General features: G+C 52.7%; 1 protein-coding gene across 7 annotated transcripts in view, besides 8 other annotated features; it reads left to right on the top strand.

Annotated features, from left to right (window-relative positions):
• CUEDC1 (CUE domain containing 1) overlaps positions 1–20,917 on the top strand; it is a 94,170-nt gene that overhangs the window by 59,222 nt on the left and 14,031 nt on the right. For 5 of the 7 annotated variants that reach the window (XR_934459.4, XR_934460.4, NM_001271875.2 and 2 more), the window contains exons 2-3: positions 10,312–10,962; positions 16,453–16,580. Coding sequence is in view for 5 of the 7 variants with exons in the window: in NM_001271875.2 (NP_001258804.1) it covers positions 10,627–10,962; positions 16,453–16,580 (464 nt within the window). In the remaining 2 variants the exon portion in view is untranslated. Of the gene's footprint in view, positions 1–10,311; positions 11,020–16,452; positions 16,581–19,991; positions 20,041–20,917 lie in introns of those variants that run through there. The other 2 variants (XM_017024641.3, XM_011524812.3) reach the window with 2 other exon arrangements.
• Positions 2,882–3,623: an enhancer, noted in NCBI's record as "H3K27ac-H3K4me1 hESC enhancer chr17:55969929-55970670 (GRCh37/hg19 assembly coordinates)". NCBI's record gives its function as "activates a minimal SCP1, AML or CMV promoter by ChIP-STARR-seq in naive H9 embryonic stem cells {active_cell/tissue: H9 hESC(naive)}" and the evidence as "EXISTENCE:reporter gene assay evidence [ECO:0000049][PMID:30033119]".
• Positions 3,172–3,221: an enhancer, noted in NCBI's record as "active region_12449". NCBI's record gives its function as "activates an Ori minimal core promoter by ATAC-STARR-seq in GM12878 lymphoblastoid cells {active_cell/tissue: GM12878}" and the evidence as "EXISTENCE:reporter gene assay evidence [ECO:0000049][PMID:35858748]".
• Positions 10,426–10,926: an enhancer, noted in NCBI's record as "H3K4me1 hESC enhancer chr17:55962626-55963126 (GRCh37/hg19 assembly coordinates)". NCBI's record gives its function as "activates a minimal SCP1, AML or CMV promoter by ChIP-STARR-seq in primed H9 embryonic stem cells {active_cell/tissue: H9 hESC(primed)}" and the evidence as "EXISTENCE:reporter gene assay evidence [ECO:0000049][PMID:30033119]".
• Positions 14,411–14,963: an enhancer, noted in NCBI's record as "H3K27ac-H3K4me1 hESC enhancer chr17:55958589-55959141 (GRCh37/hg19 assembly coordinates)". NCBI's record gives its function as "activates a minimal SCP1, AML or CMV promoter by ChIP-STARR-seq in naive H9 embryonic stem cells {active_cell/tissue: H9 hESC(naive)}" and the evidence as "EXISTENCE:reporter gene assay evidence [ECO:0000049][PMID:30033119]".
• Positions 14,964–15,516: an enhancer, noted in NCBI's record as "H3K27ac-H3K4me1 hESC enhancer chr17:55958036-55958588 (GRCh37/hg19 assembly coordinates)". NCBI's record gives its function as "activates a minimal SCP1, AML or CMV promoter by ChIP-STARR-seq in naive H9 embryonic stem cells {active_cell/tissue: H9 hESC(naive)}" and the evidence as "EXISTENCE:reporter gene assay evidence [ECO:0000049][PMID:30033119]".
• Positions 16,624–17,176: an enhancer, noted in NCBI's record as "H3K27ac hESC enhancer chr17:55956376-55956928 (GRCh37/hg19 assembly coordinates)". NCBI's record gives its function as "activates a minimal SCP1, AML or CMV promoter by ChIP-STARR-seq in primed H9 embryonic stem cells {active_cell/tissue: H9 hESC(primed)}" and the evidence as "EXISTENCE:reporter gene assay evidence [ECO:0000049][PMID:30033119]".
• Positions 19,221–19,861: an enhancer, noted in NCBI's record as "NANOG-H3K27ac-H3K4me1 hESC enhancer chr17:55953691-55954331 (GRCh37/hg19 assembly coordinates)". NCBI's record gives its function as "activates a minimal SCP1, AML or CMV promoter by ChIP-STARR-seq in naive H9 embryonic stem cells {active_cell/tissue: H9 hESC(naive)}" and the evidence as "EXISTENCE:reporter gene assay evidence [ECO:0000049][PMID:30033119]".
• Positions 19,862–20,503: an enhancer, noted in NCBI's record as "NANOG-H3K27ac-H3K4me1 hESC enhancer chr17:55953049-55953690 (GRCh37/hg19 assembly coordinates)". NCBI's record gives its function as "activates a minimal SCP1, AML or CMV promoter by ChIP-STARR-seq in naive H9 embryonic stem cells {active_cell/tissue: H9 hESC(naive)}" and the evidence as "EXISTENCE:reporter gene assay evidence [ECO:0000049][PMID:30033119]".

Here is a 20,917-nt window from a genome sequence, read left to right as displayed (position 1 = left end):
TCCTGAATCAGTAGGTAGGTGCAAAGTGTGCCTTAGTGTGGAGGGCAAGGGCAGGGGTTGGGAGTTCTGTTTGCAGGACCCTCCTCTGCCCATCCTGAGCACTCCTTTCTAATCATGGGTTCCTTGACCCGGATTACCTGGGCATGTTCGGATGCTAAATTGTGGGGCATGGATTGCTGCCTGTCCGGGGACCCAGAGGTGTCTCCTGCTGCTGTCCAGACCTCAGAACTCAGCCTACTGGGGGGGCCTTCAGCCTGACTGCCTATAGGAGAAGCCCAGGGAGGAGCAGCTGACCCCTTTTCCCAAGAAGCTGGGCCTGGTCCAGTATGAGCTCATGCCTGGAGCCAACCCAGCTTCCTTGGCCCTGCACCTGAGTTACCAGTGGCCCCCTTCCTCCAGCGTGGGCCCTTTGACTTGGTAGCATGAACGCGCGTGTTCCTGCCAGCCCAGTGGGGTCCCCTAGAGCTGTGGCACCTGGGAGGGGAGGGGCAGGGGGACAGTAGCCCCCTTAATCCGCTGAGGTTTGATCTCCTCCCAGGCACCTGAGTCGAATATCTTGGCTGAGCTGGTGGCTTTTGTTTATGGAGTGAGGGACTGTTGTGGAAATAGTCCCCAGCCAGCCCAGGTTGTGGTGGAAAACAGTTGGTTGCTCAGGCAACTTGACAACTTCAGTAGGATGGGAAAAAGGTTTTGTGAGGAAACTGCCACTGTTTTGTCTTCTCCTTTGCTTCCTGGACATAAGCACCATCCCTTATACCTCCAGTGGCACCCAGGCACCCCCAGCCTCTCCAGGGGCAACCCTGTCCTTTAGTATTCAATTTAACTCACAGTTATTGAGTTCTTGCTGTGTGCCCAGCTCTGTGCTAGGCTCTAGGGAATATGGAATGGTGATCAAGCCCAATGGATACAGAGTGTTAAATCTGGAATCGGACCTTCTGGGTTCAAATTTCAGCTTGGCCACTTAGCTGTGTGACCTTGAACAAGTTACTCAACCCTTCTACGCCTCATTTTTCTACTATGAAGTGGAAATAGCAGTAGTAATATGCACCTTGTAGAGCTGTAGGGAGGATGAAGAGAGTTAACATGCAATAAGGCACTTTGAGTAGTGGCTAGCATATAAGGAAGCAGGCAATAAGTGTTATCTATTCTCATTATGACTATTATGACCATTATCTTGCTAAGATGAACCAAACAAATGACATGTTTCTCTGCTGAGAAGCCTCATCTTGGATCTTTTTCACTAGAAGGCAGAATTGGCTTCTTGATGGTGCCTTTTGTGGCAGCCACACCTGATATTTGGGCCTCAGGAGCAGAGATGAATGATGATGTCCTTAGGACTGAGGCTCTGGGACCAATTTGTCCACAAGGGACCTCATTCACCTTCTCTGAAACCTCTTGCCCTCGTCCCTGCCCCACATCTCCCATTGGCTACAGACTTGGCCACAAGTGTTGAGGCAGGAGAGAGAAAAATTAGAAAAGAAAAGGTCTTTTTTGAATCGTATTTTTTCTTTTGATTTTTTTTTGAGACAGAGTCTCACTCTTGCTCAGGCTGGAGTACAGTGGTGTGATCTTGGCTCACTGCAACCTCTGCCTCCTGGTTCAAGTGATTCAAGTGCCTCAGCCTCCCAAGTAGCTGGGATTACAGGCATGCGCCACCACACTGGGCTAATTTTTGTATTTTCAGTAGAGACAGGGTTTTACCATGTTGGCCAGGCTGGTCTCAAACTCCTGACCTCAGATGATCTGCCCGCCTCGGCCTCCCAAAGTGCTGGGATTACAGGCATGAGCCACCAAGCCTGGCCTTTCTTCTGATTTTTAAAGATTAAAAACAATTTTTAAAGGAATGCCCCACCCTTACAGATCTAAGTGATAGGGGTGGGGGTGGCCAAGGCATCATGCCATGCCCAGCCTGCACAGCTCATGGAGTAGCCTTTGGAAGGCAGGGGCTGCCCCCAGCCTCACCCCTGCCGGCAGCTCTGCTGTGTGGGCATGGAAACCAGGTGTCCTGCTTCTCTGGGTGGCAGTGGGGCTTCTTCCTGGCAAAGAGGTTTAGGAGTCCTTTTATCAAATCCTCATGGTTTGGTTTTGTTTTGTTTTTGAGACGGAGTCTTGCTCTGTCACCCAGGCTGGAGTGCAGTGGTACGATCTTGGCTCACTGCAACCTCCACCTCCCAGGTTCAAGCAATTCTCTGCCTCAGCCTCCCGAGTAGCTGGAATTACAGGCACCCACCACCATGCCTGGCTAATTTTTGTATTTTTAGTAGAGACGGTGTTTCACCATTTTGGCCAGGCTGGTCTTGAACTCCTGATCTCGTGATCCACCTGCCTTGGCCTCCCAAAGTGCTGGGATTACAGGCGTGAGCCACTGTGCCCTGCCAAATTCTCGTGTTTTACAGATGTAGAAGAGATGAGTGGTCCAGAGAAGTACCCAAGGTCACACAGCAGCGCATGACAGCATTGTCTGTCTCTCCCCTGCTCCTCCTCCTCCTCCCCTAAGGTCCAGTGGCCTCTTTTCTCCAATGGCTGTGCCCGAGGGTCCTCTTTGCCCTTCCTGGCTGCCTGGGGGTGGGCACAGGTGTGGCTGCCCAGCAGCTCTGGGGGCCTCGGGAATGAGGCTGGCTTTGTTGCAGCCCCGGCAGCTGTGGCCATTTGGGTCGAGTTTCCATTAAGCCTTTTCCGAGCCTTGGGCAGGAGCAGGAGGCTCAGCGTTTAAAGGTCACCCGGCTTTTGAAGCTGCAGCGACATTAATAGCTTGGGAAGAAAACAAGCCTTTGCAGGGGCAGGAGGACAAGGCGTCTCTGTCAGGGCTGCCTGAAACACACACACACACACACACACACATACCCTGAGAGCCTCTGTCTCTTGCTCTCCTCTTCCCTTCCTTTCACCCCCTTTTGGGGCCTCTTCAGCTCTGAAGCCAAGAAGCTCAGGCAGATTTCCCTGCACCCCACCCGCTCTGAGGTGACAATTGGCCGAGAATGCAGCTGCCCCAGCCCAGCAGCCTCTGCCATTACACACTTGAGGTTTCCGCAGGACTCAACCATGGTTACACAAGCCTCCCAGGGTCATATGACCTCATTCTGGCCCCACTGGCTTTTGCAGCCTGGATTCCCAATGAGACAGAGTGAGCCTGGCCTGCGTGTCCTCATACGGGAAATGAGAGCGCTGGCAAGTGGCTTGTCTTGCATGCCAGTTCTAATCACTTGGTCGTGGCTTGCACAGAGGCGGTGTTGCAAAGGGTTCTGAGGTTGTGTGTGTTCTGTAGGACAGTAATACCTGGGTGGATTAGTGATGTCTGCCAAGGATGAGGGCTAGAAGGTGGTGGCACATGTGCCAAAGATTTCCTGCCTAGGATTAAATGATTTGACAACTCTGCGGGTCTTGGGTGCTAAGACCCCTGAGGCAACTGGGTGGTTCTTCTCCCTTTTAATCAGGCCAAGGGTGGGGGTGGGGCACATTCTTGGGTTCTGAGAGAAAAGCCACTCTGGCCCTTTCCCTGGGAGCTGCCAGGGCCTGAGCTCTGGGACACCACCTAGTGGCCTGGCTTGGCAGCGCCACTGGGCTGTGCCAGATCTTAGGCAAGAAGCAAATCCCTCTGCAGGCAGGCATCACGGCAGTCACAGATGGACGTAGGGTCTGCTCCTTGGTGATTTTCAGAGGAGGGAGCCTGGGGTGCACAGAGACAGAGCTGGTCTGAGGAGTCTTACCCTCCTTCCAGAAGAGTGGCCTCTGGGTGGGACACAGGAAGGTGCTGGCAATTGGGACCTGTGGCTTCCTGTTCTAACTCCCACCTTTCAGGGTTGGGCCCTGGTCCTCCTGGGGGGCAGAATGGAAGGTCAAGTCAGATCTAGGAGGGGGTTAGCCTCCTGCCCCCTGGTGCTGGCACTGGCTTGGAAAGGGGCAGCCTGCCATCAGCCTTGTGTCCACGTCACTGGGCTGCCTTGGCCTCAGACCCCTTGTCTGTGAAGTGAGATAATAACGCATTCCCTTATATATCTTCTAGGTTTGTTGTGAGGAGTAAATGAGTGTGTAGGGGAGAGAGGGCTTTGGAAACTGAAAAGGCCCCCTCCCATCATTGCTGTGAGCCGGAGGAGGAAGGAAAGGGAGGGAAATCCACAGTTACAGCACTCCTCCATCTTTCCTTCCCTTCTTTACTCATTCGCCTAATAAATGTCTATTGACCATGCCAGGCACTGATTCGGGCACTGGGGATACCACAGTGAGTATAGCAAAGCCCCTGCCTTCATGGAGCTTACATTCTAGTGGAGAAGATATCAGTGACAAATGTATAATATTCAAGGTGGTCTGTTTCATGAAGAAGACAGGGAAGCCTAAAGGGTTAGGAACACTGGGATGTTGGGGGGTGGACTTGCCACTCTGTTCCCCCTCAAGGTGATGGTTGAGTAGGGACCAGAAGGAAGGGAGCCATGCAGATATGTGGGAGCAGAACGTAGCAGTTGGTGGAAAAAGTAAGTTCAGAGGCCCCTGGGTGGGAGTGTGCTTGGCTCGTTGGTGGACTAGCAAGGATCCAGGTGGCCACAGAGAGTTAGGCTCTGTCTGTATGTGTGCGTGCACATATGACAGCGAGGTGACATGGGCAGGACCATGTGGGTTGGCCACGGTAAAGCTCTGGGTATTCTGGGGACATGGGAGCCATTGGGAGGCATGGAGCAGAGGAAGGGCATGACCCCTGTGATGAGGGGTCTCTAGGCCAACACGTGGGAGGCAGGGAGCTAGGGAGGGTATGGTAGCTGTGGAGGTGGTAAGGAGTGGCCAGATTCAGAAATCATTTGGAAGACGGGGAAGACAGGCTTCGCCATAGATTGGACATAGAGTATAAGAGAATGAGAGCACTCCAAGATGACTCCAAAGGTTTTGGCTGGAGCCAGGGAGAGTTGCCATTAACAAAGATGGAGAAGGCAGGGGAGAAGCAGGTTGGGGTCGGAGGGAATCACAGGTCGGATGGATCCATGTTGTTGGAGCTGCTGTTGGATGTCCAAGTGGAGGCAGCAAGAAGGCTGTATGAGTGTGGAGTTGAGGGGAGTGCCCATGAGAGGTTGGAGCACATGAGAGCCAGTGTTCAGTATGCAGATGGTATTCCAAGCCATGGGGCTGGATGAGATTGCTCAGGGAGTGAGTCTAGCCCGGGAAAAGGTCCCAGGCCTGTGCCCCAAGCCACAGCAGCCTGTGTCACTGGTGCTTATTATACGCCAGGTACCCATGTACGTTCTATTAATACTCCTCCCCTATGTCTACAAATGAGGGAGCTGAGGTGCAAAGAAATGAAACAATTTCCCCAAGTCACACAGCCTTACTAAGGTCACAAAGTGCACCCAGGACTCTGGCTCCCCAGCTCTCATAGCCCCCATGCAGACCCTCGCTGGCCCTGATGTACCAGGCAGGAGGCTGGCTGGGATGACCTTGGGCAAGGCCAGATGAACTGCACTGGGGCAGCTTGCCCACCTCCGTGGGCCAAGCCGGGAGTGACTCAGGCCTTGGCTGCGTGCTTATGCTAGGAGAGGAGGTTGGCTGTTTGCCGCCCCTGCCGGGCCTGGATTCCTTCACAGGGGAGGTGGAGGGCCACTGTGATCCTGGCTTCCTGGGACCTGGAGGAGGACAGGTGTGGGGTTTCTGCTTCCCAGTCTCCAGGTCATCCACAACCATGAGTTCAGGGGAGCCTTTGAGTCAGCCTCCGAGAGGTCTGATGAGCCCAGTGGGTTGTTTGCTTCCTTTTTCAGAAGCCAGTCAGGGGTTATGTCCCTCTGTTTCCCTGCCAGTGCTCAGCAGCTGGGGTTCTGAGAGGTGGTATGGTTTCTCCAAGGTCACAGAGCCAGCTCTGGAGCAGAGCCAAGAGACCTTGCTACCATGCTGTCTGGGTCATGTTTCCTGTGCTGAAATGTCCTCTGGGCTGTGCCCAGTCTCCTGAGCCTGGGGCACACATGGCTGAATTTCTTATGCTCCTTGGCTCATAGCCCTGTGAGCCTTACTTGGCATTTTTTGCCTCTTAGGAAGTGGGTTCCTATTCTGGCCTCTCCACATACTGGCTGTGTGACTTTGGGCAATTTACCCAACCTCTCTGAAATGGTTCCCACAGCTATGAAATGGAGACAGCAACACCTGTCTCATGGAGTTGTAATAAAGATTAAATGTGAAAGCATGTGGCACAGGCTCGTAAACCTGTCGCCTACTTGCTTTAATCCTTTCGTGTATTTTAAACTGCTTTTCATTTGAGCAGTGCTAGTTGCAAAAGGCAGCCTGGCATGGACGGCTCTGACCCTGCTCCCAGGCACACCACAGCCATGGCCTCAGACTCTGCCCTGAGCTTAGCCAGGGGGAGAGAGGGACAGTGCTCTGAGAATTGGGGGCCTCTATAGTCCACCTGGTTCTAACTATAGGCAGCCTGGGAGTCTCTGAGACCTTATAGAGTCCTGTGGAAATGGTACTTCTGGTAATCAAAATGCTTCCCATTACTGCTTCCTTGTGTTTCCCATTACTGTTTCTGAGCCACTCTCCTCATCCACAGAACCACCCTTTGATAGAAAAGTCTAGACTTTGCCTTTACTCGCTGTGTGTCCTTGGGCAACTCCCTCCTAGACTTGGGTCTCAGGCTCTTCACCTGTAATGTGAGGCAGGGTGTGGGGCTGGGCTGGAGTTGTCAGTCCTTTACATTTTGTGGTCCCCACAAGGATGCTTTCAAAGCTTTGCACTTGGGCCAAATGGAAGCGGCTGCTTGAGCTGCTGTGTCTCCAGTTGCCCAGGCCAGCCCAGCCTCCCCTGGGGCCATGAGGATCAATATTTCCTTACAGAGGGCTGAAAGAATTCCAGGGATTGACATCCAGGTGCTGGGGAAGACCCCCCTAGAATCTCCCTACCCCATCCCCCCTGTGAGGGCAGCTTGGCCAATTTACCCACTGCTCCTGGCTCTTTACCAGCCTCCTGGGGCAATGATAACTCAAATGCAGCATAGCCACGTTCTAGGCAGTGTGCTGAGGATTATCTTATTTCATTCCCATTGAAACCCCCTAAGGGATACATCCAGATGAGGGCTTAGGGCCACGGAGAGGATGGGAGACTTGTCTGAGGTCCCACAGCTGGGGAGTGCGGAGGCCTTGTCTGAACTGGTGCGTGTTCCCTATAAGTGGCAAGAGTGCAAGGCTTCTGGAGCTTCTCAACACTCAGAGAGGCCCAGAACCCGAGGGAGCTGTCCAGAGGGCTGCTAATGGGGAAAATGTCGGTCTTGCCATCTTCTTTCTTCCTCCCCTGGGGGTGGCCCAGGTCATCTTTCTCCGAGGGATTGCCTTTGGCAGAGTGAGACCTGGGTCCCTCCATCTCTGTTAGTAAATTACTGGAGGGGCAGAGAGATGATGGCTTTACTCCAGAAGGCCTTAACACAAGTCACTGACCCCTGTGTGTGATGACACTAGGACAGCAGACAGTAGCCCAAGGCATCAGCTTCTGGGGCCTCCTGGCCCTGAGGTCTGTGTTAGAGGCTTGAGGGCAGGTCCCCAGAGCCCAGGACAAAGGCAGCTGTCAGGGTGGAGCCCAGGCGAAGCTGCATACTCTTCTGATGTGTGTGGGTTCGTGGAGATGTGGGTGTAGGGGTGTTGGGGTGTCTAAAGCCGGCTATGGGAAGCCATGTCATACTTGGCTACCTTCCTATGTTCCTTCTCACAGCAAAACTCTTGGACTGATCATTTGAAGTCACCCCTCTGTGTCTTCTTGTGAAATGGCTTGGGCGTCTCTGGGCTCTGACTTGCTCATCTGGGAAGAGATGGGGTAGAGGGAGTTGGATTATAAATCATGCTTCACTCAGTCAACAGAATGCTACTCAGGCACTAAAAATGATGGCGTAGCCCTACGTATTCTGACATGGGAAGATGGCCACAATATCTTATTATGTGGAAAAAACTAGTTGCATAGGATTTATGGTTTGATTACATTTTAGTAAAATAAATTCATTTATGGTGGTATATGCAAAGAAAAAATAATGCCGGGCGCAGTGGCTCACGCCTGTAATCCCAGCACTTTGGGAGGCTGAGGCAGGTGGATCACTTGAGGCCAGGAGGTTGAGACCAGCCTGGCCAACATGGTAAAACCCCATTTCCATTAAAAATACAAAAATTAGCACCAAGCGTGGTGGCACGTGCCTGTAGTCCCAGCTACTCAGGAGGCTGAGATGGGAGACTTGCTTGAACCTGGAAGGTGGAGGTTGCGGTGAGCCAAGATCACGCCACTGCACTCCGGCCTGGGCTACAGCCAGACTCTGTCTCAAAAAAAAAAAAAAAAAAAAAAGAGAAAAAGAAAAAGAAAAGAAAAAATCGAGATGTAGACACACTAAAGTGTGAACAGATTTTCTCAGGGGTTGATGTACTCACAAAAACATCTTGGCCAAGCATTGAAGCTCATGCCTGTAATCCCAGCACTTTGGGAGACCAAGGTGGGCAGATCACCTGACGTCAGGAGTTTGAGAACAGCCTGACCAACATGGCAAAACCCCATCTGTATTAAAAATACAAAAAAAAAAAAAAAAAAAAAGCCAGGCGTGGTGGCGTGTACCTGTAGTCCCAGCTACTCGAGAGGCTGAGGCAGGAGAACTGCTTGAACCTGGGAGGCAGAGGTTGCAGTGAACCAAGATCACAGCACTGTACTCCAGCCTGGGCGACAAAGTGAGACCGAAAAAAAAAAAAAAATTTCTGTATCAGCTGTTAAGATTGTGACTCCAAGTCCTAGAAAAGTGAAAACAAGTTTGCACCTGTTTCATCAAACTCAAGGATATTATTTGATGGAATTGTCCCTTAAAATAAAGCTGCCACTGTCAGAAGTTGGTGTTTAGGCGCATTCCATTCCCAGTGGTCTGTGCTAACAGAAATGCAACCTTGGCAGTGATTTACATGCCTGGGTTTGAGTGGGCCGGGTGGTTTTCTGTGGCAGATTAAGGTCCCTCATTGTGCTTGATTTTCAGTTCCACCTATACATGTTGTCAGGACACTGTGCTGACCCTGGGGGCTGAGGGACACACATTGGCTGGGGCAGGAGAACTGGGCTTGGTGGGGATAAGAACAGAATTTATGGCCGGGCACGGTGGCTCACGCCTGTAATCCCAGCACTTTGGGAGGCCGAGGCGGGCAGATCACGAGGTCAGGAGATCGAGACCATCCTGGCTAACATGGTGAAACCCTGTCTCTACTAAAAATACAAAAAAAAATTAGCCGGGTGTGGTGGCGGGCGCCTGTAGTCCCAGCTACTCGGGAGGCTGAGGCAGGAGAATGGTGTGAACCCGGGAAGCGGAGTTTGCAGTGAACCGAGATCGTGCCGCTGCACTCCAGCCTGGGTGACAGAGCGAGACTCCGTCTCAAAAAAAAAAAAAAAAAAACAACCAGAATTTATGATGTATATGGTTTCTCAAGACAACTTTGAGAAAAAACTTCTAGAATTTTTAAAAATATGTAAGGACACTGAGTGTTCCATAAGAACAAACGTGTCTGTGATATAAATAAAACATGTCGGCCTGACATTGGGGTAAGGAAAATGAACTCCAGGGGTTGACAATGGCCTTGCATCTCTCTTTTGGGCTGGTGCTTCTCAGGGGAATGGACTGAGTTTTAGGGCCTGACATGAGTTTTCCAAGAGTGGGAACTGGGCCTCCCCTATTAGCCCGAGGCTCTGCAAGGATGAAACCCTGTTTCCTCTCTCAGGCTGGAAGCTCCCGGTGACACTGGAGGGTCCCGCTTCTCATCACTGCTGTCCCCGGGGTTCGATGGAGCTCTGCACAAGATTCCTGCCCTGGTGGTGGGACCACGATGTTGGGGCAGTGATGTGGGAAGATGAGAACAGGGACTAGAGATCAGAGAGGCAGGACATCTTTAAAGAGCCCCTCCTGCCTCACTCAGGTCTTCAGGGGTCTTTGGCAGTATGTGTAATGGTAGAGACCAGTGACTTGAGGGCCATATGTCCCAGATTCAAATCCTGGCTCCTCCACTAACTCAGCGTCTATACCTCACTTTTCCCATCTGCAACATGGGCATACTAGCACATACCTTACAGTATTGTCATGAGTTGGCCCACATAGAGCACTTAGGATGGCACCTGGGTCGGAGGAATCCCTTGCTAACTGGTGGCTGTCCTGTGCTAGTAAAGAACTGTGGGGATTTCATTACTGAAGCCGGGGAGAAAGCATGAGGAAGAAGCAAGCCTCCCTTGCCCGTGGTAGGGGTCGCGGTTCCCTGCCCTCATTTCTTAGTAGCCCTTGGCCGCCACCCTGAGCTCATGTTTTGTTAGCCTCGGCCCTGACTCCATCTCTTTCGGTTTCAGGTGGGACCATCCGTGAAACCGGTGCCAGGATGCACCGGGGGTGTGGATGACCGGCCGCCCAGCCCCAGCACGGCCCGGTCCCGCATGCCACCGCCCCGCGAGGACCGCTCTCCAAGGGCTGCCTGGGGCCCCGCGCCCGTACTCTCCTAACCCGGAGCTCTTGGCAGCCCATTGCTGCCTGGCTACCCGGGGAGGAGGAGGCGCAGGAGTGAGCTGCCCGAGACCGCAGGGCAAGTAAGCGGCTGACGGCGGAAAGACCCTGGGGAAGGGGCTTTGCGGCCGGCTAGAAACATTTTCCCCAAGCGGCTCCGCAAAATGACCAGCCTGTTCCGCCGGAGCAGCAGCGGCAGCGGCGGGGGTGGCACCGCCGGGGCACGCGGGGGCGGGGGAGGCACGGCCGCCCCCCAGGAGCTCAACAACAGCCGGCCTGCCCGCCAGGTGCGCCGCCTGGAGTTCAACCAGGCCATGGACGACTTCAAGACCATGTTCCCCAACATGGATTACGACATCATCGAATGCGTGCTGCGCGCCAACAGCGGCGCTGTGGACGCCACCATCGACCAGCTGCTGCAGATGAACCTGGAGGGCGGTGGCAGCAGCGGCGGCGTCTATGAGGACAGCTCCGACTCGGAGGACAGCATCCCCCCGGAGGTAGGGGCGCAGCCCGGGTAATTCCAACCACCACTGGAGGACAGCATCCCCCCGGAGGTAGGGGCACGGCCCGGGTAATTCCAACCACCACTGGAACCTCTAAGAGGACCTGGGTTACTCCGCTATCTGGGTTCTAATTAGCAAGCAGCCTTACTTCCCCTAGGGAAAAGTACCATCCGTCAGTCACCTTATTTTATGGGCAGAAATCATGCAGTCATTCAACAAACACTGAGCGCCCACTCAGTGGTGTGCGAGACGTGGCACTAGACCCTGAGTCAGGAGGCATCAGAATCAAGGTGCTTGTTAAAAATGCAGGTGCCTGGGCCCCACCCCAACATACTGAACTCCACATCAGGCGTAGAGTCCGCTAGTGGCCAAGTCAGACCAAATTTCTGCCCTCCTGGAGCTCACAGTCCAGTGTGGACTAGAAGCGCGAGTCGGGTACTGACGGCCAGAGTGGTAAGTGCTCGATGGAGACGTGGAAGCAGCAGAAAGGAGTGACTTCCCAGAGGAAGCGATGGCTAAGCCGAAACCCTAAGCTGAGACCCAAAGGAAGAGTGAAGCCGGGGGAAGGGTGTGCAGGCAAAGGGAACAGCTTGTGCAGAGTCTGGGAGGTGAAATAGTGCCTCACTGGCTAGGGAACTGGCAGCAGGACCATCTGTCAGGGTCCTAGAGTGAGAGGAGATCAATGAGGTTGACAAAGCCCTGACGCTGAGAAAAAGAGTGCGGCTGGGGCCGGGCGAGGTGGCTCATGCCTGTAATCCCAGCACTTTGGGAGGCCGAGGCAGGTGGATCATGAGTTCAGGAGTTCGAGACCAGCCTGGCCAATATGGTGAAACCCCATCTCTACTAAAAATACAAAAATTAGCCAGGCGTGGTGGTGCGCACCTGTAGTCCCAGCTACTCGGGAGGCTGAGGCAGGAGAATCGCCTGAACCCGGGAGGCAGAGGTTGCAGTGAGCCGAGATCATGCCACTGCACTCCAGCCTGGGTGACAGAACAAGGCTCCGTCTCAAAAAAAAAAAAAAAAAAAAAAAGAAAAGAAAAAGAGTGCGGCTGTATCCTGGGAGCATAGCCACGGAAAGGGAGTGAGGAATCAGACTTGCCAGTTAAATCCCTCTGACTGTGGCCTGATGGAAACAGTAGTGAGCCATAGCCAAGCAGTCTCTCCAGGGAAGTGGCTGGAGAGAGGGGACCTGCGTACTGCATCAGTACCCACCTGCTGGAGGTTGTGAGTCCTTTCCAGTCCCACCCGAGTTCAGTGGACATCTGGCCACCCAGTATCAGCAGAGCCTGAGGTGCTTGGTGCAGAAGGATGAGGCACACAGAGCCTGTTAATCAGAGGGGTGTTGTCCACAGGGCCATCTGGGACATGCAGCCATGGACAAGACCAGGACCCAGCAGGATTTAACTCCACTCTTTATTGAGTCCCGACCCGTGCCAGGCATCATCCTAAGTGCTTTAGATGTATCATATCTTCTTTTTTTGTTTGTTTTTTTGTTTTTTTGAGACAGAGTCTTGCTCTGTCGCCCAGGCTGGAGTGCAATGGCGCGATCTTGGTTCACTGCAACCTCCACCTCCCAGGTTCAAGCGATTCTCCTGCCTCAGCCTCTCGAGTAGCTGGGACTACATGCATGTGCCATCATGACCGGCTAATTTTGTAGTTTTAGTAGAGATGGGGTTTCACCATGTTGGCCAGGCTGGTCTCGAACTCCTGACCTCAGGTGATCTGCCCGCCTCGGCCTCCCAAAGTATTGGGATTACAGGCATGAGCCACTGCACCTGGCCCGATGTGTCATCTCTTCTAATCCTCACAAACTTTGTGCTGTGGCATTATTATTACCCTTGTTCATCAGCCATCCTGCAGGGCAAAGTCTCCTTGCTTTTCCTCCTTAGTGGGTGCTGCTGAGACTTCCCCTAGAGGTGGAAAAGCTCTGTTGGCCAAGACATCTGGCTCATCCCTGTGTCATCTGCAGCACCCAGGACAATCCACGCACATAGCAAGCACTCAGGGAGTGTTTGTTGAATGAGTACGTGTTGCTGCTGTCTTTGTACAGTTTTCTATTGTCTCTCTCCTTGGGAGACCACTCCTTTGATCTGCTTGGAGTAGGTGGTGGAAGGAATATTGGAAAATATGGATCCTCTTTGTAGAAAGAAGGAGAGAGAGAGAGTGAGAGTATGCGTATGTATGTGTGTGTCTGCAGATACAGTTGACCATTGAACAATGCAGGGGTTAGGGGCAGTGAATCCTCCCCTTGCAGTCAAAAATCCACTTTTTAATATAACTTTTGATTTTCCCAGAAATTGACTGCTAATAGCCTATCGTTGACCTCAAGCCTTAACTCAAGCCTTAACATAAACAGTCGACTAACATATATTTTGTGTGTTGTATGTATCATATACTGTATTCCTACAATAAAGTAAGCTAGAGACAAGAAAATGTTAAGAAAATCATAAGCAAGACAAAATATATTTTCTACTCATTAAGTGGAAGTAGATCATCGTAAAGGGCTTCATCCTCATCTTCTCACATTGAGTAGGCTGAGGAGGAGGGACAGGAGGGGTTGGTTTTGCTGTCTCAGGGGTGGTGGAGGTGGAAGAAAATCTACCTATAAGTGGACCCACGCAGTTCAAACTCTTGTTATTTGAGAGTCAACTGTATATGCTTTAAGTGTGAACTGGAAGGAAAGCTCTCTGCAAGCTCTGACCCTTTCTGCAGTCTGATTTGCCCTGACAGTCTGGCAGGTAGGGTAGTATTTTCTCCTTTGTCCATGGCCCCCACAGTCCTATAGACCTCTGCAAGGCTTCACCACCCCCTAGGTAGGCCCTTGCTGTGTGTGCACTTCTGTTTTTCTAAGAATCTTGCTCTCCAAATTGAGCCCCCTCCCGGTACCCCTCCCCTCCCTTGGCAGTCTCCCCAACCCCCCACCTTTGGAACTCTGCCTGGGCCCATAGGCAGGCAGCTCCTGAGCCAGCGGAAAGTGCTTCGGAAAATTTATGAGCCACAGCTGGAATGACAATAACTGCTGACTGGAAAAAAAAACCCTTTCTGGGGGCTGATGGATGGTGGGCTGGCCCGAGGGGTATCCTTGCCATGGAGAAGTATCTCCTGTCAGATAAATGGCCTAGACCCTGCCCCCTGGAGCACCTGGCAGGCATCCATCACCCACAATGAGTTAAGCCAGGAGGCTGCAGAGCCCAAAAACTTCAGCACCTTTAGAGCCAGAAGAACAACCTCTTTGTGGCGGTGGCAGTGGGAGGGAGAGGCCAGGGAGGCCAGCAGTGCTGCTGGGGTTACTCTCCTTGGGACTCGGGCCCTGCATTCTGGAGCTTGCCTGGCCGGCCGCCTGTCTTCTCTGTGTTTCCCAAGTCCTCTCCAGGAGGCTCTGATGAACGTCTGTCTGGTCTTGCTGCCCTGGGAGGCTGCACAGAGGAGCAGGAGGGGGCCTCCTGGTGTGGCTGGGGAGGGCTGATTGCCCTGAGTCTGGGGGGCTGACTGCCACTAGCCATGGTCAGGGGAAACCCCAAGCAGCTTCCTTTAGGGGACAGTTTCTACTGCGCTCTCCTCCCCTGCTCACCCACCTCACTCTGACCCATATCAGTGGGAATAGCCCAGGCCAGCCACTGAGACCCACCACTGCTGGCCTCAAGGCTGCAGCCCAAAGCCCTATCCCTCAGAGAAGAGGGGTCTGGGAAACAGGGTGCCTGGGCTGGGGGACAGCAGCAGCAAGTTCTCAGAATGCACCAGGTACCTGCTGGGTCACTGTCCTGTGCCAGGCACCAGAGAGTCGCCAGGGAACAGGAGCAGCGCTTACAGTGTTCTCTCTCTTTTTTCCTTTCTTGTGGAAATTTAGGGTAAGCAGAGCAGTGGCCTGCCAAGCACTACATTCTTCCTTTCCTGCAAAAGCATCTGTTTAAATACTTTTGGCCTCAAAGGAAAGAACGTTAGTGCATTCCAGGGCGGGAGGCCTCCTTGGGTTTAGCTAGCTATGTAAGCGCAGAGCACTGCAGAGTGCACGTGTGCATGTGTGTGCATGTGCGCGTGTGTGTGTATGTGTGCTCACATGCACAGGCTCACTTCCCTACCCACCAGGTGCCCCTGGGAGGCTGTGTGTGCTGGGCATGGCTGGTCTCAAGAGCAGAGATGTACCAGTGAGGCCTGGCCCAGCCCAGGCTTATACAGGCAGCATTATTATGGTGACTTCTGCAAACTCACCTGAGGTCTGGGGGCTCTGGGGCACCTGAGATTCACAGCCTCTGAGCTCCTCCCATATTCTTTGATCTTGGAGGAGATGGGAACAGAGTTGTGGGGAGTGAGCGGGAGGCGAAGGTGTAGGCCAGGTTGGGCTGTGTGGTGAGGGATCTCCCAGTCAGGGGCCGCCCCTATGGTGGATCAGGAGTTCAAGACCAGCCTGGCCAACATGGTGAAACCCCATCTCTACTAAAAATACAAAGATTAGCCAGGGGTGGTGGCGCACGCCTGTAATTCCATCTACTTGGGAGGCCGAGGCAGGAGAACATATACTTTGATGTCTGCGGAGTGTGCCAGAACTGGAGGGTCAGAGGTAGCCATGTGTTTAGCTGCCCCAAACTCCTCTCTGGGCTTCTGGGGAAGAATCTAAGTCGGTCAGTGGAGCAGGACCCCAGACTTTGCCCAGTCCTTGGCCTCTCCCTGGCCCTCTTCTTGGCTCCTGGATAAAGACAAGAGCTTGGGAAGGAGAGCAGGCATCCCGGGCACTCCCCTTGCTACTCTCCGCCCTGAGAGTCCAACCTGAGTGTGCAGCCAGTGTGCCTGAAGGAGGGACCCTTGTGGTCCAAGTTGAAGACTCAGTTCTAAAAAGCGTGTGGCTTTTGCCATGTCACTTAGCCTCGGCCTCAGTTTCCTTCTGTGTCAAATGGGGTAATGAGCCATATCCTACAGCGCCAGGTTGTTCGAGGTTAAGATGAGATCAGAGACGTGGAGGTACTTTGAGAGAAGGTATGAAAGATGTTATCATCAAAGAATAGCATGGGTACAGGAGCACATGAGTCACACGCATGCAGCTCGGTGGAGTTTCACAGTGCGAATATTCCACATTATCAGCACCAGCTCAATAACCATCATCCCCAGAACCTGGAGTGCCCCTGGTATCTGTTCCCACCCTTACCCGCTCCACAGAGGGCACACCGCCCTGACCCTTACCACTGTGTATTTGTTTCTGCCTGTATTTGAACTGCACATGGAGGGAGAATGCTGCTGTGAACATTCTTTTGGGGACATACACTTTGATGTCTGTGGAGTTGCCAGAACTGGAGGGTCAGAGGTAGCCATGTGTTTAGCTTTTTCAAAAAGGCAGTTTTCTAAAGTGGTGATTGTATCGATTTACACTCCCACTAGCAACACACAGAGTTCCTTTATTATACCTGCCCTCCCACACTTGATTTTGTCTGAATGGTATTTAAATTCAAGGAGGGATGATTAATATTTCTTTCTCTGTTGCCTCTGATTTAGATCTTGGAAAGGACTTTGGAACCTGATAGCTCGGATGAAGAGCCCCCACCTGTGTACTCCCCGCCAGCCTACCACATGCACGTGTTCGACCGGCCCTACCCTCTGGCTCCCCCGACTCCGCCTCCCCGGTGAGAATCTGTCATGTCTCAGAGCACAGGGTGGCAGGGAAGAGGATCAGTGGCTGGGGCTGTGTACAAACAACACGAAACTTGGCTGGACTGCTCAGTATATTTCAAAGAACAGGCTTCTACTGCAGCAAGAGACATTTTAGCTAGATACCAAGGAGAACTTGCAAAATGTAAGGATTGCAAGAGCAAACATTTCCTAAATTCCTACTCTAGGCTAGGCGGTATGTCTGGTACCATATGGGACACAGAGTTAAGTAAAGCTCAGCCTCTGCTTTCTGGGAGCTTATAGTCAAGGGAGATGCCAGAGTAGGAATGACAAACAGGGAATGTGTATTGGCACTTCCCCTCCCAAGCCCACAGCAAACATGGCTGATTCATCACTGTGCTCTTTCCTGCTGAGTCAAGACAGAGCCTCAGATCCTCCTTAACACAGAACACAGCATTCCCAGCCAGTCATCAGTAATTGATGGAATGGCTAGCTGCCATCCTTGGGCTAGGGATATTGTGAGGATTTTTAAGCAATGAGAGCAAGTCTCTTTCATTAAGGTAGTTTGATAACTGGAGGCAGGGAGGTAGACTGCAAGGTCCCTGGAAACTTCTTCCAGGTTAGAGACTCTGTAATTTGGAAGCTTAAAATGAAGCTAGGCTGGGCACAGTGGCTCACATCTGTAATCCCAGCACTTTGGGAGGCCAAGGTGGGTGGATCACTTGAGGTCAGTAGTTCAAGACCAGTCTGGCCAACATGGTGAAACCCCATCTCTACTAAAAATACAAAGATTAGCCAGGGGTGGTGGCGCATGCCTGTAATTCCATCTACTTGGGAGGCTGAGGCAGGAGAACCGCTTGAACCCCGGAGGCGGAGGTTGCAGTGAGCCAAGATGGTGCCACTGCACTCCAGCCTGGGTGACAGAGTGAGACTCTCAGTAAATAAATAAATAAATAAATAAATAAATAAATAAATAATCAAGGTAGTTGCCAGGAAGATCCCATGGGTCTCCGGGGTGCTTGTTTTTCTGGGCTCCACATTTGTGCTGGGGCTGCTGGAGCTGGGGTGTGACCTCTTTGCCCTAGAGCTGCTGTTTCTTAGAATGGCTCAGGCCTGGAGTGGTGAGGGGGTGGGGAGATGATGGGACAGGGCACCTGTCCCAGTTAGATCTTCCCTTCTCCCCAGAACAGCCCCAGAGCAGTGGTGAACTCTGTTATCATACAAGTGTAGCTAGCATTGACTAAGCACCCTTCCAATGCCAGAAACGGAGCAGGTTCTTTACCTACACCATCACATTTAATGCAGAGGCGGGCACTGTTGTCATCACCCCTATTTATGGACGAGGAAACTGAGCCTTGAGAGATTTCATAACTTCCCCAAGACTAAGAGCTGGAGTTCGAATCCAGGTCATTCTGACTTAAAGCTAATCACTCTTCACTGCTGTGTCCTGTCACCTCCCGAATGAGAAAAGTCTCTGTGATTGCAGCTTACGGAGCTCATAGAGTCCTAGAAAGTTACTGAGGGGAGGAGGGAGGGAAGTGTTTTGAGTCAGGGACAGGAACAGAGCTGGGATCTTTGTCACGAGTGGTACCAGGAGCTGGCAGGCTGTACTGGAGTGGGAGGTGGGGAATGAGTGGGTGGGTCTGGGTGAGACCTAGGCAGGACTTGCAGCCTGGGATAGATCACAGAGCCCTGGGCTAAATGATTTTCCTTTCTTTGACTTTTTTTTTTTTTTTTTTTGAGTCGGAGTCTCACTCTGTCATCCAGGCTGGAGTGCACTGGGATTATCTCTGTTCACTGCAACCTCCGCCTCCCAGGTTCAAGTGATTCTTCTGCCTCAGCCTCCCGAGTAGCTGGGATTACAGATGTGTGCCACCACACCCGGCTAACTTTTGTATTTTAGTAGAGACGGGGTTTCACCATGTTGCCAGGCTGGTCTCAGACTCCTGATCTCAGGTGATTCGCCCACCTCGGCCTCTCAAAGTGCTGGGATTGCAGATATAAGCCACCGGGCCTATCCCCACCCCCACCTTTTTTTTTTTTTTTAATATTCCAATACACTTTTGCAAAAAGTTCAGTTTCTGCTAGGCAGAGTGGTTCCACCTATTTTCAGAAGGGAAAACTGAGGCCATAAGAGAAAGGATTTTTTTTTCTTTAAATAGAAACAGGGTCTCACTATGTTGCCCATGGTGAATTTGAACTCCTGGGCTCTAGCAGTCCTCCCGCCTCAGCCTCCCAAATAGCTGGGACTACAGGGCATACCGTCACGCTTGGCTGAAAATCCCAGTATAAATGTGGTATGGATATCCATGCCACATCCTCCCTCCCTACTCTGGCTGGGTGTTCAGCCTGCTGTGGGTGGGGGCCAGGGTGGTGATGGGAGCCCCACTTGGGGGCAAGGTAACCTCAGCACCAGACCAAGGCTTAGGAGACCCTGTGGACTTTAGATAAGTTACTGCTCTTGCTTGAGGTTCTGGAGCCTAACTCAGGAAATGGAAGGCTTTGCTGGGCTGGGAGTGGATGCCCTGAGGAGAACTTGACTTGTGGAGTCAGACAGAAGCGGTCTGTTCTCCCCACCCCTTTCTTCAGCTGCCTAGCTTAGAATTCTTCAGGCACCTTTGCAATGTGGCCTTTGGCTCATTGCTTAACCTCTCTGAGCTTCGTTTGCCTCACCTGAAATGGGAATAGTAATTTCCACCTTAGCACTGTTAGGAGGATTGAATGAGATGTGTGTGGAGCACTTAGCACAGACCCAGGTATAGACCAGACCTATAATCAGTGGTTTACTGCTCCTTCCTGTCCCCCAGCTACACTGGCTGGCTTCTAAGTTTAGCTCTAACATTGAGACCAGGGGCGAGGCTTCCCCCAGAGGCCAGTGTTCAGTAGAGGCACAGATCCCTTTGCCCCAGGATGGCTCTGCTAGACCTGGGCCTCTAGGCCATCTCCAGTGCCTTGTCCAGTCCCTCCATCCAGGACATTCATTTCCAGCATTTACTGATTGCCTGCCATACGCAGGTGCTGAGCCATGTGTATGATGAGGTGGTGAGTACAGCACTCCTGAACTATGTGTGTGAACCACGTGCTGAGCCATGTGTGTGATGTGGAGGTGAATACGGTGCTGCCTGTTTGCCCACACACTGCCAAGGAGATCAGGGTCTAGGGAAGCCGAAGACACGGGGGCAGGGAAGGCTGCCAGGAGAAACTGATGTCCAGGCTGTGACCTGAAGGCCACATTGGCAGTAATGTGGAGAAGCAGAGGACAGGGAGGCGCTCAGGCAAAGGAAGGAGCACTTGCAGAGGCCTGGAGGCAGGAAAGAGGGCTCATCTGGAGACCTCCTGGAAGTACCTAACGGCGGGTGAGGCTGGAAAGGCAAGCAGATCAAAGGCCCTGTGGCCCTCCAGGGAGCTTCCGTCTTCTCTTGCAGACAGCGGGGAGCCATTCAAGGGCCTTAACCTGGAGAGCGACACGATCAGGTTCGTGTTTTAGGAATCTTCCTTTGGCTGCTGAGGGAGATCAGATTTGAGTGGGGGAATGGCCTGGCCCCCATCTGCTACCTCCAGTCACTGGGGTGCCGAGAACCTGCAGATGGGGCAGAGTTTGGGAGCGTGGGTATTGGCCTCCTAGGGCACAGAGAGGCAGGGCCACCCCGGGGAGCATGCTTCAAATGTCACAATCCCTGGGCCCAGGTTTTGCCTGGATGATGTGTGTGTCCTGGGACATGGCTTGAACCCCCTCTGGACCTCAATGTCCAGTTCTTACCAAAAATTTTACCTGGAAGTCCTGAGTCTGAAATCCCTTTCCATCAGGTCTGATGTTCCATGGGTAAACCTGGGGGTCCGATGGGGCTTGAAGTTGCAGTTTTGGGGTCCAGAGGCAGAGGCTCTGGGCTGGGAAATCCTCCCCAGCTTCTCCCTCCTTCCCCTCCCCCAGTCTGTCCTTCCCTCCATCTGTCTGAAAGACAGTCTCTGAAACCCCGGGGACCCTTCCACACAGGCCGCCTGCTGTTTTTCCGTTAAAATTACAGCCTTGGAAGTTTTTTTTTTTATTTGCGTCTCAGCTCATTTCTGACATTCCTTTCCGACCACAATGGAGTTGCCTGGGCTGCCTGTGCCCTGGCTCACGCAGCTGTGGGCTGACCTCATCTCTACCAGTGCCAGCCAAGGGGCCGGGAGGGGGCTGGGCCTGGCCTTCCTTCAGGACCACAGGCCTAGCAGCAAGGAAACTCAGCTGAGAACAGGGGCCTCCTCCACCTTGTGCCCTTCTCCACTTGGAGTCTTCATGGCTAGAGGGGTCCAGGTGCACCTCTGAGGTTCTCCCTCCACTGCTTTCCTGGGTGGCTCCGAGGTGTGG

Source organism: Homo sapiens, chromosome 17 (genome assembly GCF_000001405.40).
Source record: "Homo sapiens chromosome 17, GRCh38.p14 Primary Assembly".
NCBI lineage: Eukaryota > Metazoa > Chordata > Mammalia > Primates > Hominidae > Homo > Homo sapiens.
Note: the sequence above shows the minus strand (reverse complement) of the source record. Positions and strands in the feature narration are given on the sequence as shown.